The sequence below is a fragment of the Homo sapiens genome, chromosome 2 (genome assembly GCF_000001405.40).
Source record: "Homo sapiens chromosome 2, GRCh38.p14 Primary Assembly".
In the NCBI taxonomy this organism is placed as follows: domain Eukaryota; kingdom Metazoa; phylum Chordata; class Mammalia; order Primates; family Hominidae; genus Homo; species Homo sapiens.
Window position 1 is genome coordinate 47286704 of NC_000002.12, and position 20879 is coordinate 47307582.

A 20879-nucleotide genomic window follows, 5' to 3' on the forward strand; every position below is an offset into this window, starting at 1 on the left:
GAACTCCTGACCTCAGGTGGTCCGCCCACCTCAGCCTCCCAAAGTGCTGGAATTACAGGCTTGAGCCACCGTGCCCCACCCAGTCAGTTCTTATAAGGGCACTAATCCCATCATAGGAGCTCCACCTTCAGAAACTGATTACTTCCCAAAGGCCCCACATCCTAATACCATCCCACTGGGAGTTAAAGTTTCAATATATGAATTTTTGGAGGGGACACAAACACGCAGTTCCTAACACCTGTCCCCTCTCTCCTGGCTGTAGAGCCCCCACCCACCCCAGGAATTGGTATACTCTGTGTCAGTGCAGTAAAGAAGGAAACCCTGTATTCTGCGTATGGATGAAACCAGCTACATAGCTTTGGATCGATCACTGCAATATTAGCCCATGTTCTGAAACTTGCCCCTGGGCATTTTTCTTTCTATTCAGACAAGGTAGCTATTATCTCAAGCCTTACCTGGTGCGCTTGCTAGAATTCCCTTCCAGCCCTGTGCTCTGTGGAGAAAGACCTTCACAACCCTCCTGCTTCAACGCTTAGTGAGAGAGTAAGAACTCACCGTAGTGGGAGGACATTCGTCAATTCATGAGGAATCCACCCTCATGACCCAGACATCCCATTAGGCCCAACACCACCACATTGGGGATCCAATTTCAACATACATTTTGGTGGAGACTATTAAACCCTATCCAAACCATAGCACCATCTTATCCAGCACTTCCACTTTGGGGTATATACCCAAAATAATTGAAAACAGGGACGTGAAGGAATATAATGTACCCCATGTTCATAGCAGCATTATTCACGATAGCAAAAAGGAGGAAGCAACCAAAGTGTCCATCAATAAATGAATGAATAAACGAAATGTGGTATATAAATACAATGAAACAGTATTCAGCCTTAAAAAGAAATGAAATTCTGACATATGCTACAAAAGGGATGAACCTTGAAGACTTTACGTTGCATGAAATAGCCAGTCACAAAAGGACAAATACTGCATGATTCCACTTATACTAAGTACATAGAGTAGTCACATTCCTAGAGACAGATAGTCACATTCCTAGAATGCTGGTTGCCAGGGGCCAGGGAGTGGGGGTTGGGGGTAGTGGAGGTGGCGGAGGAGGAGGAAATGGGAATTATTGTTTAATGGGAATTACAGTGTCAGTTTTACAAGATGAAGGGTTATGGAGAGGGAAGATGGGATGACTGTAATGGTTATACAACATTATAAATGTATCTAACACCACTGTACTGTACACTTTAAAATGGTTAAGATGGTAAATTTTATGTTATGTGTATCTTAACACAATAAAAAATTGCAGAAAGAAGATCTTGTAGTCATCTTTTTGCCTTATTTCCAAACTATGCATAATTTTTCCTAAACAGTCTCCCCTGTGACCATAAATAATCTCTGAAGACCATTCGTGATCACATAGTAAAAAGGCTGATCTCATGCTTTTGTGCCAAGATCATTATTTGAACTTCTTGCTTAGTTGGCCATTTTCCATAGTTTTTTTTTTTTTTTTTTTTTTTTTTTTTTTTTTTTTTTGAGACAGAGTCTTGTTCTGTTGCCCAGGCTGGAGTGCAGTGGTGAGATATTGGCTCACTGCAACCTCTGCCTCCTGGGTTCCAGTGATTCTCGTGCCTCAGCCTCCAGGGTAGATGGGATTACAGACACCCACCACGATGCCCAGCTAATTTTTGCACTTTTAGTAGAGACGGAGTTTCACCATGTTGGCCAGGCTGGTCTCAAACTCCTGGCTTTAAGTGATCCGCCCGCCTCCACCTCCCAAAGTACGGGCATTACAGGCATGAGCAACCGTGCCCAGCCTCTATAGTTCTTTTGATGGAAATTAGATATAGACATAATTTATAGCACACAGACATGATTATGATGACCAAAAATTTTGTAAAACCATAGACTTTTAAAATTGTTTAAGTTTATTTTAAATCAACATATAATAGTCATACATATTTTGGGGTACATGTGGTATTTTGATACCTGTATACAATGGATAATGATCAAATCAGGGTAATTGGGATATGTATCAAACATTTATCTTTCTGTGTGTTAGGAACATTACAAATCCCATATAGCTATTTGGAAATACGCAACAAATTATTGCTAACTAGAATTTCCCTGTTGTAGTATGGAATACTAGTACTTAGCTCTCCTATCTAACTGTATTTTTGAACCCATTAATCAGAGTGCTGTGCCACATGTGAGGAGACATTATTATACTGATTCCATGGGAGCCATCCCATGTATTCTCTGAATCTGTTCCCTTTTTATTACGTAATTTCTAACCTACTTAGTCTGATTCATATATACAGATGTAGCAAGAGGTATAAATTAACATAAGCCTCCTTTTGGTTAGCAAATCTAGTGCCATAAGATGCTGAGCAACTATTGCAGCCTGATGATTAACTTCTGTCTGGAGATTATGCAAGGTATTTAGGAGTGCATTTTCAACAGCCTTATCATTCCAAAGTGGTTTCTTAATTGATTTTTTTAAAATTAAATAACCTATTCTGAGGCCATGAAGCCAACATCAAGAAGTTCTTCTCCACTACTGTTTTTAGCTATAATTGTCTCTTTTCCTCAAGATTCCTAAAATTCGCCAATGTTTGTAGCCTGCAGGGAAGTAGCTTCTTTACAACCTGTAAGGCTGAGAGAAACTGTAAACTAAGGAACAGGCACCACACCAGTTTCCTGGGAAGACACTGTAGGTGTTAATTGTGGATATTAATTGCAATCTTTATTCCTTAATGTGAACTTGTCATACCTGATTAGGTGAAACTTGTTCTCAAATATTAATGGCACTCCCACTATAGCCTTGGTTGTACTAGCAATCTGTCCATTTATTTCCTGTTAAAGGAAGCACTGATTCTTTTTTTTTTTTTTTTTTGAGATGGAGTCTCGCTCTGTCATCCAGGCTGGAGTGCAGCGGCACGATCTCGGCTCACTGCAACCTCAGCCTCCCAGGTTCAAGCCATTCTCGTGACTCAGCCTCCCAAGTAGCTGGGATTATAGGTGCCCACCACCACACTTGGCTAATTTTTGTATTTTTAGTAGAGACAGGGTTTCACCATGTTGGCCAGGCTGGTCTCAAACTCCTGACCTCAGGTGATCCACCCACCTCGGCCTCCCAAAGTGCTAGGATTACAGGCGTGAGCCACCACACCTGGCCAGAAGCACTGATTCTTACTTACTCTATGAAAATAGTTACATTGGCTGGACACGGTGGCTCACACCTATAATCCCAACACTTTGGGAGGCCGAGGTGGGCGGACCACGAGGTCAGGAGTTCGAGACCAGCCTGGCCAACATGGTGAAACCCCGTTTCTACTAAAAATACAAAAATTAGCTGGACGTGGTGACATGTGCCTATAATCCCAGCTACTGGGGAGGCTGAGGCAGGAGAATTGCTTGAACCTGGGAGGCAGAGTTGCAGTGAGCCAAGATCGTGTCACTGCACTCCAGCCTGGACGACAGATCGAGATTCCATCTCAAGAAAAAAAAAAAGAAAATAGTTACATTACCATTAAAAGTAAAGGGGCTTTGCTCAAGTATTTGTAACAATATCTGGCTATTCTCCTAGGACTTTTATGGATAGGCTAATCAATATTTTTCATATATCCTGTAAAATCACCACATAATCCACCAATGACACTACCTCCCAAAATGTGGTATTTTATATACTATGGGTCTTAGAATAAGTAAAATTTAACTCAATGTATTTTTCTAACCTTAAGTCATTGTAAAAGCATTTCTCTGAATTCCAATTACAAGAGTCATCATTATCCTTGAGTTCCCCTGACAAATTCACTACTTCATAACTTATATTAATATTTCTCCAGGGCCAGGCGCGGTGGCTCCTGCCTGTAATCCCAGCACTTTGGGAGGCCGAGGCGGATGGATCACGAGGTCAGGGGTTTGAGACCATCCTGGCTAACACGGTGAAACCCCGTCTCTACTAAAGATACAAAAAATTAGGCTGGTGTGGTGGCGCATGCCTGTAATCCCAACTACTCGGGAGGCCGAGGCAGGAGAATTGCTTGAACCTGGGAGGCGGAGGTTGCAGTGAGCCGAGATAGCACCACTGCATTCCAGCCTGGGCGACAGGGCAAGACTCCATCTCAAAAAAAAAAAAAAAAAAAAAAAAAAATTTCTCCAAGGATATATTTCCTGAATTCTTACAGGTCAATTGAAATAAAATAAGGTTCAAAGAATGTCTCACTCCACTTTGCACAGGTATATCCTGCTAAATTGAGAATTAAAGGTAGATCAAGAAGAATTTTTTTTTTTTTTTTTGAGACGAAGTCTCCCTCTGTTGCCCAGGCTGGAGTGCAGTGGCACAATCTCGACTCACTGCAAACTCCACCTTCTGGGTTCAAACAATTCTTCTGCCTCACCCTCCCGAGTAGCTGGGACTACAGGCGTGTGCCACCACGCCCGGCTAATTTTTTGTATTTTTAGTAGAGATGGGATTTCACTGTGTTAGCCAGGATGGTCTCGATCTCCTGACCTTATGATCCGCCCACCTTGGCCTCCCAAAGTATTGGGATTACAGGCATAAGCCACCATGCCCGGCCCAAGAAGAAAATTAAAACAGAATCAACATTAAAACAATACTAAAGATATTCCAAAACAAAAAAAATTATAATTTTTAATTAGTTCACTGGTACTATAAAATTAAATTTTGTTCTGTGTAATCTCAGGCAAGGGGTCTACTTTCACAAAATCATCTGCTTCTGAGCTAAAAGAATCCTAGAAATCCCAACTCAGTCTCTTGGTGCAAGCCAACAGGTATCAGTTGTTGCGGCAATATCAGTCATACTGGGAAGTCTGTTCCCATAAGTCTATTTCTACTGTTAATGGCTAAGAGTACCTTGTGGAATCTTTTACTTGCTGTTTTAATGTTTCTTTCAAACGACTCCATTTCTGACCTATAGCTTGCAGCAAGGGTCTTTAGATAAAGGAAAGGGAGAGCAAAGATCATCTGCCAATGACAAAATTAAATGACTCTGGTTAATTTATTACAGTAACCAACAATACCAGAATGAAGCAGAATAGAATCCTCTATTGGGCTATAATACATAACTATTTCACAATGATTCTGGGGTAAAATATATCATGATCTTTGAAGGTACTGACAAATCTCAAGGTCCTTCTAATCCACCTACTAAACTATGTGTTACAATTGCTATTGGTTGGCAAGAGTATTTTAAACAGAAAAAAATTGGTCAGGTGTGGTGGCTCTCACCTGTAATCCCAATACTTTGGAAGGCCGAGGCAGGAGAATAGCTTGAGACCAGGAGTCTGAGGCTGCAGTGAGCTAGGCTGGTGCCACTGCACTCCAGTCTGTGTGAAAGAGTGAGACCCTTTCTCAAAAAAAGAGAAGGGGCCGGGCATGGTGGCTCACTCCTGTAATCCCAGCACTTTGGGAGGCCGAGGTGGGCAGATCACTTGAGGTCAGGAGTTCGAGACCAGCCTGTTCACCAATATGGTGAAACCCCATCTCTACTAAAAATACAAAAATTAGTCAGGTGTGGTGGTGCACGCTTGTAATCCCAGCTACTTGGGAGGCTGAGGCAAGAGGATCACTTTAACCCAGGAGGCAGAGGTTGCACTGAGCCGAGATCTCGCCACTGCACTTCAGCCACGGTGACAGAGCCAGACTCTGTCTCAGAAAAAAAAAAAAAAAAAAAGTAAAAGAAACGGTTTAGCTTGGCTAGCTGATTAACAAGAATAAGAATGCAAATTAAAAAATAAAAGTTTTAATAGAGATGGTGTTTCACGATGTTGGCCAGGTTGATCTCAAACTCCTGACATCAAGTGATCCGCTTGCCTCAACCTCCCAAGTGCTGGAATTGCAGGTGTAAGCCACCACACCCAGCCAACAATGCAATATTTAAAAACAAACATAGCACAAAGTAACATCATCATCATCGTAACAATGTAATATAGCTCTTTTAGATTTGAAGAACATTTGTTGATCGTTTCAAAAGCACTAAAAATTAACAGGTTCTCAAGAAAAATATTCAGTTGACATAAGAAATCTCTGCTATCTTGGCAGATTACACAAAAGGTAAATAGCTTTTTACTACCTTTGGTGAAAAACAGAGTAAAAACTTCGAGACCAATTTTGAACCAGGCATCTTCTCTTCTGCATCACACATACTTTATTCATTTCAATATTTATATGTATATATATTTAAACACGTAATTACGTATATTGCTGTGCAGGAAAGACAAAAAAATTTTTAAAAAACAAATAATTCTGCATAAAGTTATATGACAATATTAAGATCTTCCATCTTAGCTTTAAAAGATAATTAATCTTATATTACAAGACAAAGTAGATATTTTACTGAATGTACCTTTTTTAAATTTTATTTATTTATTTAGGAACCTCTGGAAGATTAATTTACCTCTTTATTGGCACTTTTTTAAAAAAAGGTAAAAACTATGCTTGCTGACACAGTAATTTTTTCTACCTCTCTGTTAATTTTTGTTTTTAAAAAGGTATTCAGTGTAACCAAAGAGGTCTCATTAACTAATGGAATACTGTATTATATTACCCTAATATCTTAAAGTGGTTTGAGGATCTTGAAAATTATGCTCAAGTTTTGATTACAAAACAGCACAATCACTGCTGATATTCAAAGTTTGCCAGAGAGATGACAATTAGAAATTTTCCATGGATGTTGAAAGTGAAGTAATACGCCGGGCGTGGTGGCTGACTCCTGTAATCCCAGCACTTTGGGAGGCCAAGGCGGGCGGATCACAAGGTCAGGAGATCGAGACCATCCTGGCTAACGCGGTGAAACCCTGTCTCTACTAAAAATACAAAAAAATAGCTGGGCGTGGTGGTACGTGCCGGTAGTTCCAGCTACTCGGGAGGCTGAGGCAGGAGAATCGCTTGAACCTGGGAGGCAGAGGTTGCAGTGAGCCAAGATTGTGCCACTGCACTCCAACCTGGGCAACAGAGTGAGACTCTGTCTTAAAAACAAACAAACAAACAAACAAACAAAATTTCATGGAAATTTTCCTTAGCATATTTTTATGACTGGGTATTGATTATATTTTCTTATTTTTTGTATTCTTATTGCTCTGGCATTTGAGGCTTTGATCCTAAAGAGACTGCTCCTCCCAGGGCTTGCCAATGTTTAACATACAAATGTTTAATATACAAACCAATCAACCCAGAGCCCACACCCCAATCATCTCCTTTTTCAAACTCCCACACATCAGGCCAATATTCTCCCCACCCTAAATCACTCCAAAGCCAGGCACCAAACAACTAAGGAACACCCCCTATTGCCCAGAGCCCCCTGAAATTATTCAAACTATCCAGTCCTAAACTTTCTCAGTGTACCTACCCTGCCTGGCTCATTCCTTCCTGTGAAAACCCCAGTAAAGCCTCTGGGCCATGCTCCCCGCTTCTGCCTCCTGACCAGCGTGGGTGTGTCCCCTTGTCTCTCTGTGTGGCATGCCAACCGTCTCTAGGCGTCTGTGAGGGCAAACTTCTTTCTTCATGATAATCATTTCTCTGTCTGCATGTCTTACCATACCTGATTGAAACAAATTCTGAGTGCATTTTTAGAACAGACTGCTAATTATTAATATTAGCTTGGTACTGGCCAGGCACGGTGGCTCACGCCTGGAATCCCAACACTTTGAGAGGCCAAGGCAGGTGGATCACTTTAGATCAGGATTGAGTGTTACCTTGATTTGATTAAAGGTTGCAGTATTGATCCTGGCTGTGTCTGTGAGGGCGTTGCCAAAGGAGATTACCATTTGAGTCAGTGGGCTGGGGAAGGCAGGCCCACCCATAACCGGGTGGGTGCCATCTAATCAGCAGCCAGAGAATATAAAGCAGGCAGAAGAACGTGAAGAGAGGAGACAGGCTTAGCCTCGTAGCCTCCGTCTTTCTCCCATGCTGGATGCTTCCTGCCCTGGAACATCGGACTTCAAGCTCTTCAGTTTTGGGACTTGGACTGGTTCTCCTTGCTCCTCAGCTTGCAGACAGCCTATTGTGGGACCTTGTGATTGTGTAAGTTAATATTTAATAACATATATATATATTCTATTAATTCTGTCCCTCTAAGAGAACCCTAACAAATACAATGGTGAAACCCTGTCTGTACTAAAAATACAAAAACTAGTTGGGCGTGGTGGTAGGCACCTGTAATCCCAGCTGCTTGGGAGGCTGAGGCATTAGAATTGCTTGAACCCAGGAGGTGGAGGTTGCGGTGAGTCGAGATCGCACCACTGCACTCCAGCCTGGGGACAGAGCAAGACCGTGTCTCAAAAAAAAAATACTTTTTTGTATATATTATGTATATGTATATATTATCTTGATACCTATTGCATTTCCTTTCCTTCTCTTGAGATCCCTATAATGAGTAAAAGTGACAGATTCCTACAGTCTGTGGAAGGGGATCAGAATATGCCACCCCAAAATATACTAGTTTGGCATTAGGATTATTTTCAGCTGAAGGCAATTAAGAAATAGCAGGCTCAGGAGAAACTCTCTGCCCTCCCCCTTTCTTCTGAAAGCAGAGCATAGAGTTCCCTTTTGTAAAAGTAACATAAATTCCCGTTTGTAAAAGTGTCTCCCTCTCCCATACCAGGAAGAGAAGACTATTAATCACCTGACGTGACTCTTCTCACTTCAGTCTGCACCCAACTTGAGTCTGCATAACAAACCTTACTAAAAAATTCTTCTCTACAATTAGTTCCCCCATATATTTACCTTCCCAAAATTTGTTTCCACTGGGAACCCAAGCCCCTTTTCCTTTGTGTAGTTACTTCTCCACAATTTATTGCCCTTTATTAAAACAACATTTAGGCCCTGGGTCCAACCACTTGTTTGGGTTTTCACTTGTTTTCTGTGTAATTCTTGCACATAAAATTAAAAACATTCAGTAAGTTTGCAAGCCTTTTTTTCTCCTGTTAATCTCTCTTTTGTCAGTTTAATCCATAGGCTTCAGGCACAGAACATAAAAGAATAGAGAAAAAGTTTTGCCTCACCTACACTATTAACCAAGCTTCTCCACAAAGAAGGCAACCACAAGTATGCAGGGCTACAGTTGCAAGCAGATCCCCCTAAGCGGCCAGTTACTTTTCCTCTGTGGGGAGGGCAAAGGCTTTTCTTATTTACATCTGCACAAACAAGAACCATAGCTTCAGTGTGCCTTCAGGAAAACTCAAAAGAAAACCAACCAAACAAAAATAAATATCTGCAGGTATATGACTCTGAGAGTATAAAACTGGACAGAGGCTGTGGGTCACTACTTTCTCCCTACCCACTCCAAAGATGTTTCAAGGTTCCATCCCATAGAATTCCTTAAACAAAGAAATAACCGTAGAAACCTGCAAGCCCAGATCTCTCCATCACCCTTTGAGGCTTTCACAGACTTTCCAGCACAAACAGTGGAAGACCAGCTCCTTTCCCAGGCTTCTAGCCTTTAAACTGGAAGACAGTCAAACTCCAATTGTCTACCAGGCCTTTTTTTTCTGGACAACACCTCTGGCACCCAGACCAGGCCTTTCAGACTCTTCTGAAAGACAATAACTAGGTTCTAGCAGTTTCTGGCAGGCAAACACGCATGATTTACAGAACCATATTTTCAAAAAACAAACAAAAAGTAGAAGCAGAAACAAGAAGTAAGATTTTCGAGTTCTTAAGAAATGAGAAAATATTACCAGACAATTTAGAAACATTCAGATGTCAAAACTCTTCATAGTGGTGTGGTGTGGCGGCTCATGTCTGTAATCCCAGCCCTTTGAGAGGCTGAGGCAAGAGAATCTCTTGAGCCTAGGAGTTCGAGACCAGCCTGGGAAACATAGCAAGGTCTCACATAATAAATAAAAGTAAAAATAACCCAGGGCATGATGGCTCACACCTATAATCCTGACACTTTGGGAGGCTAAGGCAGGTGGATCATGTGAAGCCAGGAGTTCAAGACCAACCTGGTCTGGGCAACATGGTGAAACCCTATCTCTACGAAAAATACAAAAATTAGCCAAGTGTGGTGGTGCACACCTGTAATCTCAGCTACTCAGGAGGCTGAGGCAGGAGAATCGCTTGAACCTGGGAGGTGGAGGTTGCAGTGAGCCGAGATTGTGCCACCGCACTCCAGCCTGGGCGAGAGAGCAAGACTCTGTCTCAAAAAAAAAAAAAAAAAAAAAGTAAAAATAATAAAATTAGCTTCGTGTAATGACACATGCCTGTAGTCCCAGCTGCTCAGGAAGCTGAGTCCAAGTTTGAGGCTGCAGTGAGCCATGATGAAGCCACTATACTTTAGCCTGGGAGATGGCGAAAGGCCTTGTCTCTGGGGGAAAAAAAAAGAGCGTTCATAGGCTTTGAGTTAAAAATTCCATTTCTAAAAGCTTATTCTACTGTTGGGGCTCACAAAGTGATACCCCAAAGTATGGTGGTGTGGTATGCTGAATACTTTGAACTGAAGGGCATTGAAAGGGCCTCAGAAGCAAAGCTTCTTTCTGACTGTGAAAGTTGCAGATACCAGGATGAAATCACTTTTGTCAGACTCAGACAAAATAAGGCCAGGAAGGCATGAAGAAGTGGGGGCTTACGCTTCCATGTCTGAGATAAGAACTATTTCCAAGGACTTTCTGAAAACCCCACAAGAAATCTTTTCATGTCCTTCGCACATCTCTTGCTTTGCACAGCTTGTACTTTTCACGTGGATTCATATATTTCTATGACAAGGTTTATCACTAGACATTCATTAGGGCACAGTAATTCAGAAAAGGTGCTCTCAAAACTTTGATTAAATAAATGTGTTATGTTTTCTCTTTTTCACACGTCTTTTGTTATTGAAGGTCTGATTATGACCTTTACGATGGGACAGAAATGGTATCACGCCTTTTCACTCCTACAGTTCAGAGGTGTTTGAAGATGCATGTTCCCCAAATTCATGCCCAAAAATATTTACCTTGGCCCCTTGATCACAAGGAACTGGAATAGCTAAAGGATTCACTACAGATGTATAGTAGGAGTCAAATAAACCTCGGCTTTATCTTTACTCCACTCTACCAACTGTGTACCCTGAACGCCTACCTTTTATTTCCAGGTTTGCAAAATTAGGACTAACAATGCCCAAGGCTGGATTGCACAATAGACAGACATGTTTAGGCACCAGTAAAGCCAGGGCACCAGAAAATGGCTTTTGAAAAAGTTTGAAGTTTGATAGAAAAAAAAACCAAAACACCAAAATAGTCATAATTGTCAGAGGCGTTTGAACCAGAGTGACTCCATCTTAAGTAGGGGCTGGGTAAAATAAGGGTAAGACCTTTTCGGCTGCATTCCCAGTAAGTTAGGCAATCCTAGCTGATAAAACAGGTTGTGGTAAAGAAGTCGGCCACATCCCACCAAAACCAAGATGGCGACAAAAGTGACCTTTCCTCATTATACACTCACTGCTCATTATACACTAATTATAATGCATTAGCATGCTAAAAGACACTGCCACCAGCACCACGACAGTTTACAAATGCCATGGCAACATCAGGGAGTTACTATATATGGTCTAAAAGCAGGAGGAGCCCTCAGTTCCAGGAATTGCCCACCTCTTTCTTGGAAAATTCATGAATACTCCACACTTTGTTTAGCATGTGATCAAGAAATAACCATAAAAATAGCCAACCAGCAGCCCTTGGGACTGCTCTGCCTATGCAACAGTCATTCTTTCGTTTCTTTATTTCTCTAAGAACCTTGCTTTCACTTTATGGATTTGCCTTGAATTCTTTCTTGCACAAAATCCAAGAATCCTCTCTTGGGGTCTGGCTCGGGACCCCTTTCCAGTAACACCTTGAGAAACTTACATTTTCTTATATTTATTTTATGTATTTTGTGTTTTTAGTTTATGAATAAGAGGTTGACCTTGTGGGGAAGAAAATTTTTTCCTCTGCTCTTAGGTTTTGTAATTGGGGGTCTAAAATTAAACTGACAAAAAACAGATTCACAAGAGAAAAGATGAATTTTAATCATGTACAGGCATTTACAAAGAAATGCAACTCAAAGAGGTGGATAGACTTTAGGGCTTTATACCACCTAATAGGTGACGCAGAGTGGGAAAAGAGTACTTACCAGGAAAATAAATGACTTCTTAGACGAGGGAAGGAAAAAGAGCACTTCTGGAAAAACAAATGACTTTCAGGAAAGATAAATGGGCCCTTAGGAGAACAGATGGGAGATATGACAGTTTTCTGATAATGTCTCTTTGGGTGTGCTGGCCAAATTCTCTCTCAAGATTAGAGTTGTTCCCAGGGAGGGGATTTATGATAACTGAGTTCTTTTGAGTTCTTTTGGGAGCCTCTGCTTTTAGGAAGATAAGGGACTTCAGGACCCCAAATGCTTTCAGCTCACAAAAATTTTTATGGCACAATGGCTTATTCTGGATCCCTTCAATTGTCTCGAATCTCAGGGCCTCCAAAGTTCTTGATAATGATGAGTGCTCTAGCTGGGTGCGGTGGCTCACGCCTGTAGTCCCAGCACTTTGGGACGCCAAGGTGAGTGGATCATGAGGTCAGGAGATGGAGACCATCCTGGCTAATGTGGTGAAACCCCATCTCTACTAAAAATACCAAAAATTAGCCGGACGTGGTGGCACGCACCTGTAGTCCCAGCTTCTCAGGAGGCTGAGGCAGGAGAATCACTTTGAACCCAGGAGGTGGAGGTTGCAGTGAGCTGAGATCGCGCCATTGCACTATAGCCTGGGCGACAGAGCAAGACTTCATCTCAAAAAAAAAAAAAAATTAGCCAGGTGTGGTGGCGCACACCTGTAATCCCAGCTACTCAGGAGGCTGAGGCAGGAGAATTGCTTGAACCCGGGAGCCGGAGGTTGCAGTGAGCCGAGATCTCACCACTGAACTTCAGCCTGGGCGACAGAGCAAGATTCTCTCTCAGGACAAAAAAAAAAAAAAAAAAAAAAAAAAGATTGCTGTAGATGTTGAAGTGTAAATCCTATGACTAATGGATTGAGCACAGATATGCAAAGTCATTGCAAGAGCCTCAGCTGGCCAGCAGGACTTGACTGCAACCTGATTTAAAGTATTAACATACCTAGGGCCGGGCTCAGTGGTTTGGTGGCTCATGCCTGTAATCCCAACACTTTCGGAGGCTGACGTGGGCAGATTACTTGAGGCCAGGAGTTCCAGATCAGCCTGGCCAACATGGCAAAACCCCGTCTCTACTAAAAATATAAAAATCTGCCGGACATAGTGGTGCACATCTGTAATCCCAGCTATTTGGGAAGGCTGAGGCACAAGAATCGTTTGAACCAGGGAGGCAGAGGTTGCGGTGAGCCAAGATCACACCACTGCACTCCAGCCTGGGTGACAGAGCAATACCCTGTCTCAAAAAAAAAATTTTTTTAAATAAGGTATTAACATATCTAAAGAAAGAATGTGTCACTTGGAAGAACTGCTGAGATTTCCCCTCCCAAATAATTACTGTGCTCCCCTATTGCTTGTCTATAAAGCAGACTTCCCATGGATGTTTATAAGTTTGAATTGGAATGAAATTGAGCAATATCACCACTTATTGAACACCAGATGTCAGACATTGTGCTAAAGGTCTTTAGTACATTATCTTGAGTCTCGCAATAGCCTGAAGTCAGTATTATTAACCCATATAACAAATTTTAGAGGGACAGTGTGTTTCCCAAGTGATAACCCAGGCTATCTGGTGGTAGAGCTAAGATCAGCCCTTGGAACCCAAGTTCCTATCCTTTATCTTGCCATATTCCAGTCTCTGTTCCAGGTATCCTTCACCCAGAACTTGAGTGGTTTGCCTGGGTTCCCTTGATCCTTCACCCAGAACTTGAGTGGTTTGCATGGGTTCCCTTGCTGAGACTTTTGCTCACTGTGACAATGAACCAGAGAAGTAGGAAATAAGCCCCCGCTCACCTGCCTCCCTTTTGGGTGACCCACAAGAACATAAATCTTGCAGGGTCTTTAGCATCCAAGATGCCTAAAAGCTAGGTGGTGTCAAACCTGTCATCCAAAAGACCACCAGGATGGCTAAATAGTGGAAAGGAGAGCTTTATTGGTGATACTGGTTTGCAACCCAGAAAGAGGAAGTCTCCAGTGTGGACAGAAGGTCCTGTCTCTTTGAAGTGAGGAAGGAAGCTTGGGTTTCTTGCTTCACAGGGCGTGTATCACACAACAGAGTCATACATATTCATCAGGTTTTGGGGAAAAGCTATACATAATTATGAAGGGAGCCTAGCGCATGGATGATGGATAAGCATATAGGTAACATATATTCCATGTTCACTTTGGGCAGGGTTTTGGCATAAAAATCAGATGGAATTTGGTGCTTTATGTGAAAAGGTGAACTAAAGCACACAAAGACAGTTTGTGTGCAGCTTCTGTAAGCTGGCTGAAACTGGCTTAAGGCTTAAGGTCTGAAGTAGCTTATTCAGGAAAGAATCTTTGTAAGGCTGGTCTGCTGTGCAGTCAGGGCTGTAGTGGTTTGGATTGTAAATCTGAGTTAGGAGAGGGCTGATATCTCTTATTGTTAGGGAGTTTAGAGCCTCAGGAATTTAGCAATTTGCCATGCTAGCTGGGTCCTGAACCCTCCACCAGTAGATAGACCCGTAGGTAACTTTGTTTCCTTAACCTTAGAACCTGTCTTAGTTGATAAAAGTGTGTCTATTTTGGTCTTCCAGATCGCAAACCCAAGCATTACTGCGGTGAAGCTAGAAAGCCCCTGTCTGAGCTGTTTCTGCAACTGACTGCCTGGGTGGTACAGGGGAAATAGTTAAACCTCCCTGAAGCTAATTTTCTCATTTTAAAATAAGAGCAGGCTGGACACAGTGGCTTATGCTTATAGTCCCAGTACTTTGGGAGGCCAAGGCAGGAGGATCACTTGAGGCCAGGAGTTTAAGACCAGCCTGGGCAACATAACAAGATCTTGACTCTATAGAAAATTCTTCAAATTAAAAATTAAATTAAAATGAGAGCAATAGACTAGATCGCTTCCCAGCACTACCATTCTGGGATTCTGTAGTTCAGTGAAAAAGATCAAAGTCTCCATAGAGGTAGAGGTTGCAAGGAGAGAGGCTGAATCCTCACTAAAGTTTTTCCAGTTCCAGTGATGGAGCTATTTTTAGATTTGATCAGGTTCTCTCATGCATGTTGCATATTGTAGGACGGTTTTCTGGGTCAACCTTTCTCAAGTAAACTGTCACTTAATCTCTGGCCAGGACAGTTGCCCCGATAGAGTAACAGCTTTTCCCACACTAGCACTGGCTATTTTGAGATTGCTTTGCCCCAGGTATGTGACTGGACTTCAAAGAACCGTGATGTAGGGGTCCACACATCCTTGGCTTGAAAGGGGTATCCTGGAGGGCGTAGTTCTAGTCTATCATATGTGGAGTTTCTCCTCTGTCTTCTAAACATGCGTTCATTCAGTAGTTCTTTTCTTGAGTGCCTACTTTGTGTTAGGAACTTAGAATAAAATGGTGAGCAAAAATACGCAGGACCCTTACCATCAAGAAACTTTCAGTCTATCAGGGTAAAAGACATTAATCAAGTAATCATACACATTTTTTATTGCTAGTGTAAGAAGTGCTATAAAGGAAAAGTATAGGATGCCCGAAGAGTCTCTAACTGGGAGGTCAGAGAAGGCTTCCTTGGGGAGCTGCCGTTTGAACTAGTTTGAAGGATAAGGAGTAGTTATATAAATGCCAGGGGAAAGGAAAAGCATTCTTGGCAAGGGAAAGGTTATGGGCAGAGGTCTGGCAGGAGGAATCATGAAACTAAAAGGAACCATGGCCAAGCGCAGTGGCTCACGCCTGTAATCCCAGCTCTTTGGGAGGCTGAGGCAGCTGGATGACGAGGTCAAGGGACTGAGACCATCCTAGCCAACGTGGTGAAACCCCATCTCTACTAAAAATACAAAAATTGGCTGGACGCAGTGGCTCATGCCTGTAATCCTAGCACTTTGGGAGGCCGAGGCAGGAGGATCACCTGAGGTTGGGAGTTTGAGACCACCCTGACCAACATAGAGGAAACCCCATCTCTACTAAAAATACAAAATTAGGCAAGCGTGGTGGCACATGCCTGTAATCCCAGCTACTCCAGAGGCTGAGGCAGGAGAATCGCTTGAATCTGGGAGGTGGAGGTTGCAGTGAGCCGAGATCACACCATTGGACTCCAGCCTGGGCAACAAGTGTGAAACTCCATCTCAAAAAAATAAAAAATAAAAATACAAAAATTAGCTGGGTGTGGTGCCACGTGCCTGTAGTCCCAGCTACTAGGGAGGCTGAGGCAGGAGAATCGCTTGAACCCGGGAGGCAGAGATTGCAGTGAGTTGAGATCCCGCCAGAGCACTCCAGCCTGGAGACAAAGCAAGGCTCCATCTCAAAAAAAAAAAAAAAACAAACAAACAAAAACTAAAAAGAGCCAGAGTAAGAGCACAGAGATCAAGGCAGTGTCAGGAGGAAAAACTTCCTCTATCCTCTTAACGTTTAGTATCAAGGAATCCATGAATTAAACTGGCAAAAGACAGATCAACAGGAAGAAACATTTGTTTGTATGCATACAGGAGCTTACAAAAGAAGTAGCACAATAAATGATTTAAGTTAGAGGCTTAAATTCCTAACTTAGGAGGGAAAAGGGAAGGGAGAGAAAAGGTCTTTATCACAAGACCAAATGAGTTTCTTTAGAAAAGACAAATGGGTTTCTGCAAGAAGAAATGAAAGATAAAAAAAAATTTGTGATAATGCGTGTTCATGCAGATATGAGTGTTCTTTCCATTTTCTTCAGTGGCCATAAAAAGTTCCCCCAGAGTGGGGATTTATGTAGGTTTATTCTTGATCTCCTTCCTGGGAGTAAAAGCTGCCCTGAAGAAGGAATTTATGACAGCCTCATTTCCCAAAAGTTTCTGCTTTTAGTCAGATAAGGGAAGCTCTGAGAAGGCTTCTTTCTACACTGGTTGAGCCTCAAATGTCTTCAGCTTAAAATAATCTTCATGTTAACTGGGAGGTTCTAAGTGGGTCTCCACAGGGGGCTGATGTAAAGTGATGCCAGAGAGGTACTGGCTAGACGATGGACAGCACAGCTCTGTTAGTTTCATGTTTTTCCTGAGAATAATGGGATGAATTAAAGCATTTTAAGCAGGAGTGCTGCAGGATTAGATTTTTATTTGCTGAACTTGGGGTGCATTGATGATAAACAGGCAGCTAGACGTGCCAGTTAGAACTCAAAGATAAGCTCTGAACATCCTTGTGAGTCATCTATGTATAGATGGTCATTATGGACCAGTGAGTGGATGAGATTGCATAAGGCAAAAATGTACAAGAAGATAATGTTCCTTTCCACCCATCTGTAGATTAAAAACAAACAACAACAACAAAAAAGAAAGAAAAAGAGAAGGTTTTAGGGAAGGAATGCTAGCTTTCAGGAACCAACCCATTTCTAGGTTTGCAGAGAGGACCTGTAAGAAATTATAACTATATTATTTGTATTACTTTATTGCAGCTCTAACCTTGGAATTATTTTATCTGACAAATTAAAAATCCTTGCCTTGGCTACTTTAAAGAAAGCAAAGGGACATAAAAATTCTTCAAAAATACAAAGTATTATAACATTGTTGCTGTGACCATACCATTGTTGGCTGAGGAGGGAAGGAAAGTAAAGGAGAGAAAAATATCATTTATGTAAGCTTACTCATGTAGCAGCCTCTGTGCCAGCCAACTGGCATTATCAATCCACACTAGATCATAATAAGATAGGTGCTATATCTCCACTTTACAGATGGGAAACTAAAGTGAGGCTCAGATAGGTAAAGAAATTGCCTAAAGTCTCATAGCTGGAATATAATAGAACTGAGATCAATACTCACATTCACACATCTGACACGGTGGCCTATGCTTTTTCTTTAAAAGTTTGTTTTCTCCCCTACTGTGCAACCCCACTCTACTACACACACAAGAAAAAGATTTTTCAACTCAAACCGTGCAACACAATATCAAAGAAATATCAAATATCCTAAGTCATAAAGGTGTGGCCTGGGCCACTTTTTCAGACTCCTCCAGACTGATAGAGCTGTTGCTCTGACACTAGGGAAATTAAGAAGCTTGTCGGCTTGGGTCCTTGCTGTTCCGCTTCTGGGCATGCAGTTTGGCAAACAGTGTTATATTATTTATTGACTTGTAGATGTCATCACAGATTTTTTACAGGAAGGATTGGTGGCTGTTTCATTTAAAGAGTTAGAAATTTACAAAATTCCTCTCTCTGGGCCATGCAGATCAAATCCAATTCCGTCAAAGGAATTCCTGAGCTCAGCCAATCAAGACTTCTACCTTTCAACCGCTTTTCTTAAAATACAGGAATAATGTTCAATAGAACAGTGAGGAAAAATTTTGGACGGCAAAGGTGTGTAGTTGTTCGACAAATATATACTGGGAGCCTTAAATGCTGTGGAGGATACAAATATATCCAAGTCCAGTTCCTGCCCTCAAGGCCAACCTACCAGGAATTGCAAGTGAGGAAGGTCAGAGAGGTTAGAGTGACTAGGGTGTCACAGGAGAGGAGATGCTTGAAATTTGAAGAATAGGCATGGTTCAGATGGGTGCATAGGAGAACATTCCAGGCAGAGGGAATCACATGAACAAAGGCACAGGGTAAGAACTAAGAAGAACAGGTTTAGGAATAGGGACAGGACCTGCCTGAGTGTGCGTTGTTCCCCATGTTGGGGAACAATGGTTGGATATGTGGATTAGGGGCACAGAATGGAGAGCATTGATTGCTGAGTCAACTTAACCCAGAGTTTCTCAACCTCATTGCTATTAACATTTTGAACCGGATCTTTTTTTTTTTTTTTTTTTTTGAGACAGAGTCTTGCACTGTCGCTCAGGCTGGAGTGCAGGGGCACGATCTCAGCTCACTGCAACCTCTGCCTCTAGGTTCAAGCCATTCTCCTGCCTCAGCCTCTCAAGTAGCTGGGATTACAGGCACCCACCACCACACCTGGCTAATTTTTGTATTTTTAGTAGAGGCGGATTTCACCATAATGGCCAGGTTGGTCTCGAACTCCTGACCTCAGGTGATCCACCTGCCTTGGCCTCCCAAAGTGCTGGGATTGCAGGTGTGAGCCACCACACCCAGCCCGTATCATTTATTTTGTGTGTGGGGTGAGGGGAACAGGGAAACCATCTGTGCATTGTAGGATAGTTAACAGCCCACCCGATTTCTACTCACTAAATGCCAATAGTACTCTCATCCCCAGTTGTGTGCTCTGCCCCCAAATCATGACACAAAAAATTTCTTCAGGCCAGGCACAGTGGCTCAAGTCTGTAATCCCAACACTTTGGGAGGCCAAGACGGGAGGATCACTTGAGCCCAGGAGTTTGAGACCAGCCTGGGCAAGAAAGTGAGACCCTGTCTTTACAAAACAAAATTTAAAAATTTGCTGGGCATCGTGGCGCTTGCCTGTAGTCCCAGCTACTTGGAAAGCTGAGGTGGGAGGATGGCTTGAGCTGCGGGGGATCAAGTCTGCAGAGAGCTGTGATTGTGCCACTGCACTCCAGCCTAGGCAACAGAGCAAGACCCTATGTTAAAAAAAACAAAAAAAAAGTCTTCAGACATTGCCAAATGTCCCCTGGGGTGTAAAATTGCTCACTGGGTTGAGAGCCACTGGGTTAAGACATTGTGATAGTGTATGTGATGTGCATGTGATTTTTCTGAGTCAACAGGTCCTCTGTGAGCTGATTCGGTTCTTCCATATGCCATCAGGGCTCCTGTGCTCGTGGCCCTAGGACAGCGACCTGCAGCCCAAGAGAAACCATCCTCCTGTTGGACTTCTGGGCCCAATTGCGAATGGTTCCTTACTCACCACCCACTACTTCAACATGCCTGGAAAATGCCACTAGGGGAGAAAGAACAGGTAAATACAGCAAGCTAAGGGTAACAAGGATGGTCTGGTCTCTGAGTAGAGATAAAACACCGAGAACAAAGATACAAGCAAAAACGTGGAAAGCTCTGAAGCAATTTATTATTAACATCAGTAGAGCCCAGTAGCAATGAAACAACACATTGTGGCCAGGCACGGTGGCTCACGCCTGTAATCACGATACCTTGGGAGGCTGAGGTAGGAAGATCTCTTGAGCCTAGGAGTTTCAGATCAGCCTAGGCAACACAGTAATACTCTGTCTCTACAAAATAATTTAAAAATTAGCTGGGCGCAGGGATGCATTCCTGCAGTCCCAGTTACTTGGGAGGCTGAGGCAGGAGGATCACTTAAGCTGGAAGGTTGAGACTGCAGTGAGCCATAATTGCACCACTGCACTCCAGCTTGGGTGACAGATTGAGACTGTCTCCAAAAAAAAAAAAAAAAAAAAAAAAAAGGAAAGAAAAATAAAGCAACATGTTGTGCTAGTCCCAGAGCTGGGCAGTGAAATTCTGCCCAATTAGGCCTGGCATTGAGCCAACTAGAGCCCCTGATTAACACCAGTGAGGATGTTTAGAGAGGGTGACACATGTTTTCTTCTCCTCTATGCCAGGCAGGTTGTTGATATAAGTACACTGTGAAAATGTTTACCATTATTCTGCCTTCACCTAATTAGAGCTTTTGGACCACAAACTTTACCCAGAGAATTTGACATTCAGAATGGAATGTAAAAGTGCAACATTGGAATACAGCTTGTGTATAGCTGAGTGACCTCATGGAACTGAGGCTTCCATCTCCCTGCAAGCCTGCCTGCAACCTGTTCCCTTCTGGTTTTGTTTGGTTGACAAGGCTAGTGAAATACCCATGGTGGAGGCTCAGAATCTTTTTGCAATTTCCTATCCCTGGGATGTTTGAAAGGCTAAATCTCCATGATAAGGATAGCTAGCATTTA

At 42.5% G+C, this 20879-nt stretch overlaps 1 long non-coding RNA gene across 2 annotated transcripts in view, besides 1 other annotated feature; it reads right to left on the minus strand.

Moving 5' to 3' along the window:
- The window catches only part of EPCAM-DT (EPCAM divergent transcript), a 152670-nt gene that overhangs the window by 94299 nt on the left and 37492 nt on the right, over positions 1 to 20879 (minus strand). The gene's annotated exons all lie outside the window — the stretch shown is intronic.
- Positions 5602 to 5890: a silencer, noted in NCBI's record as "fragment chr2:47519444-47519732 (GRCh37/hg19 assembly coordinates)". NCBI's record gives its function as "represses an EF-1alpha promoter that drives an FKBP-Casp9 reporter gene in an ReSE screen in HepG2 liver carcinoma cells {active_cell/tissue: HepG2}" and the evidence as "EXISTENCE:reporter gene assay evidence [ECO:0000049][PMID:32094911]".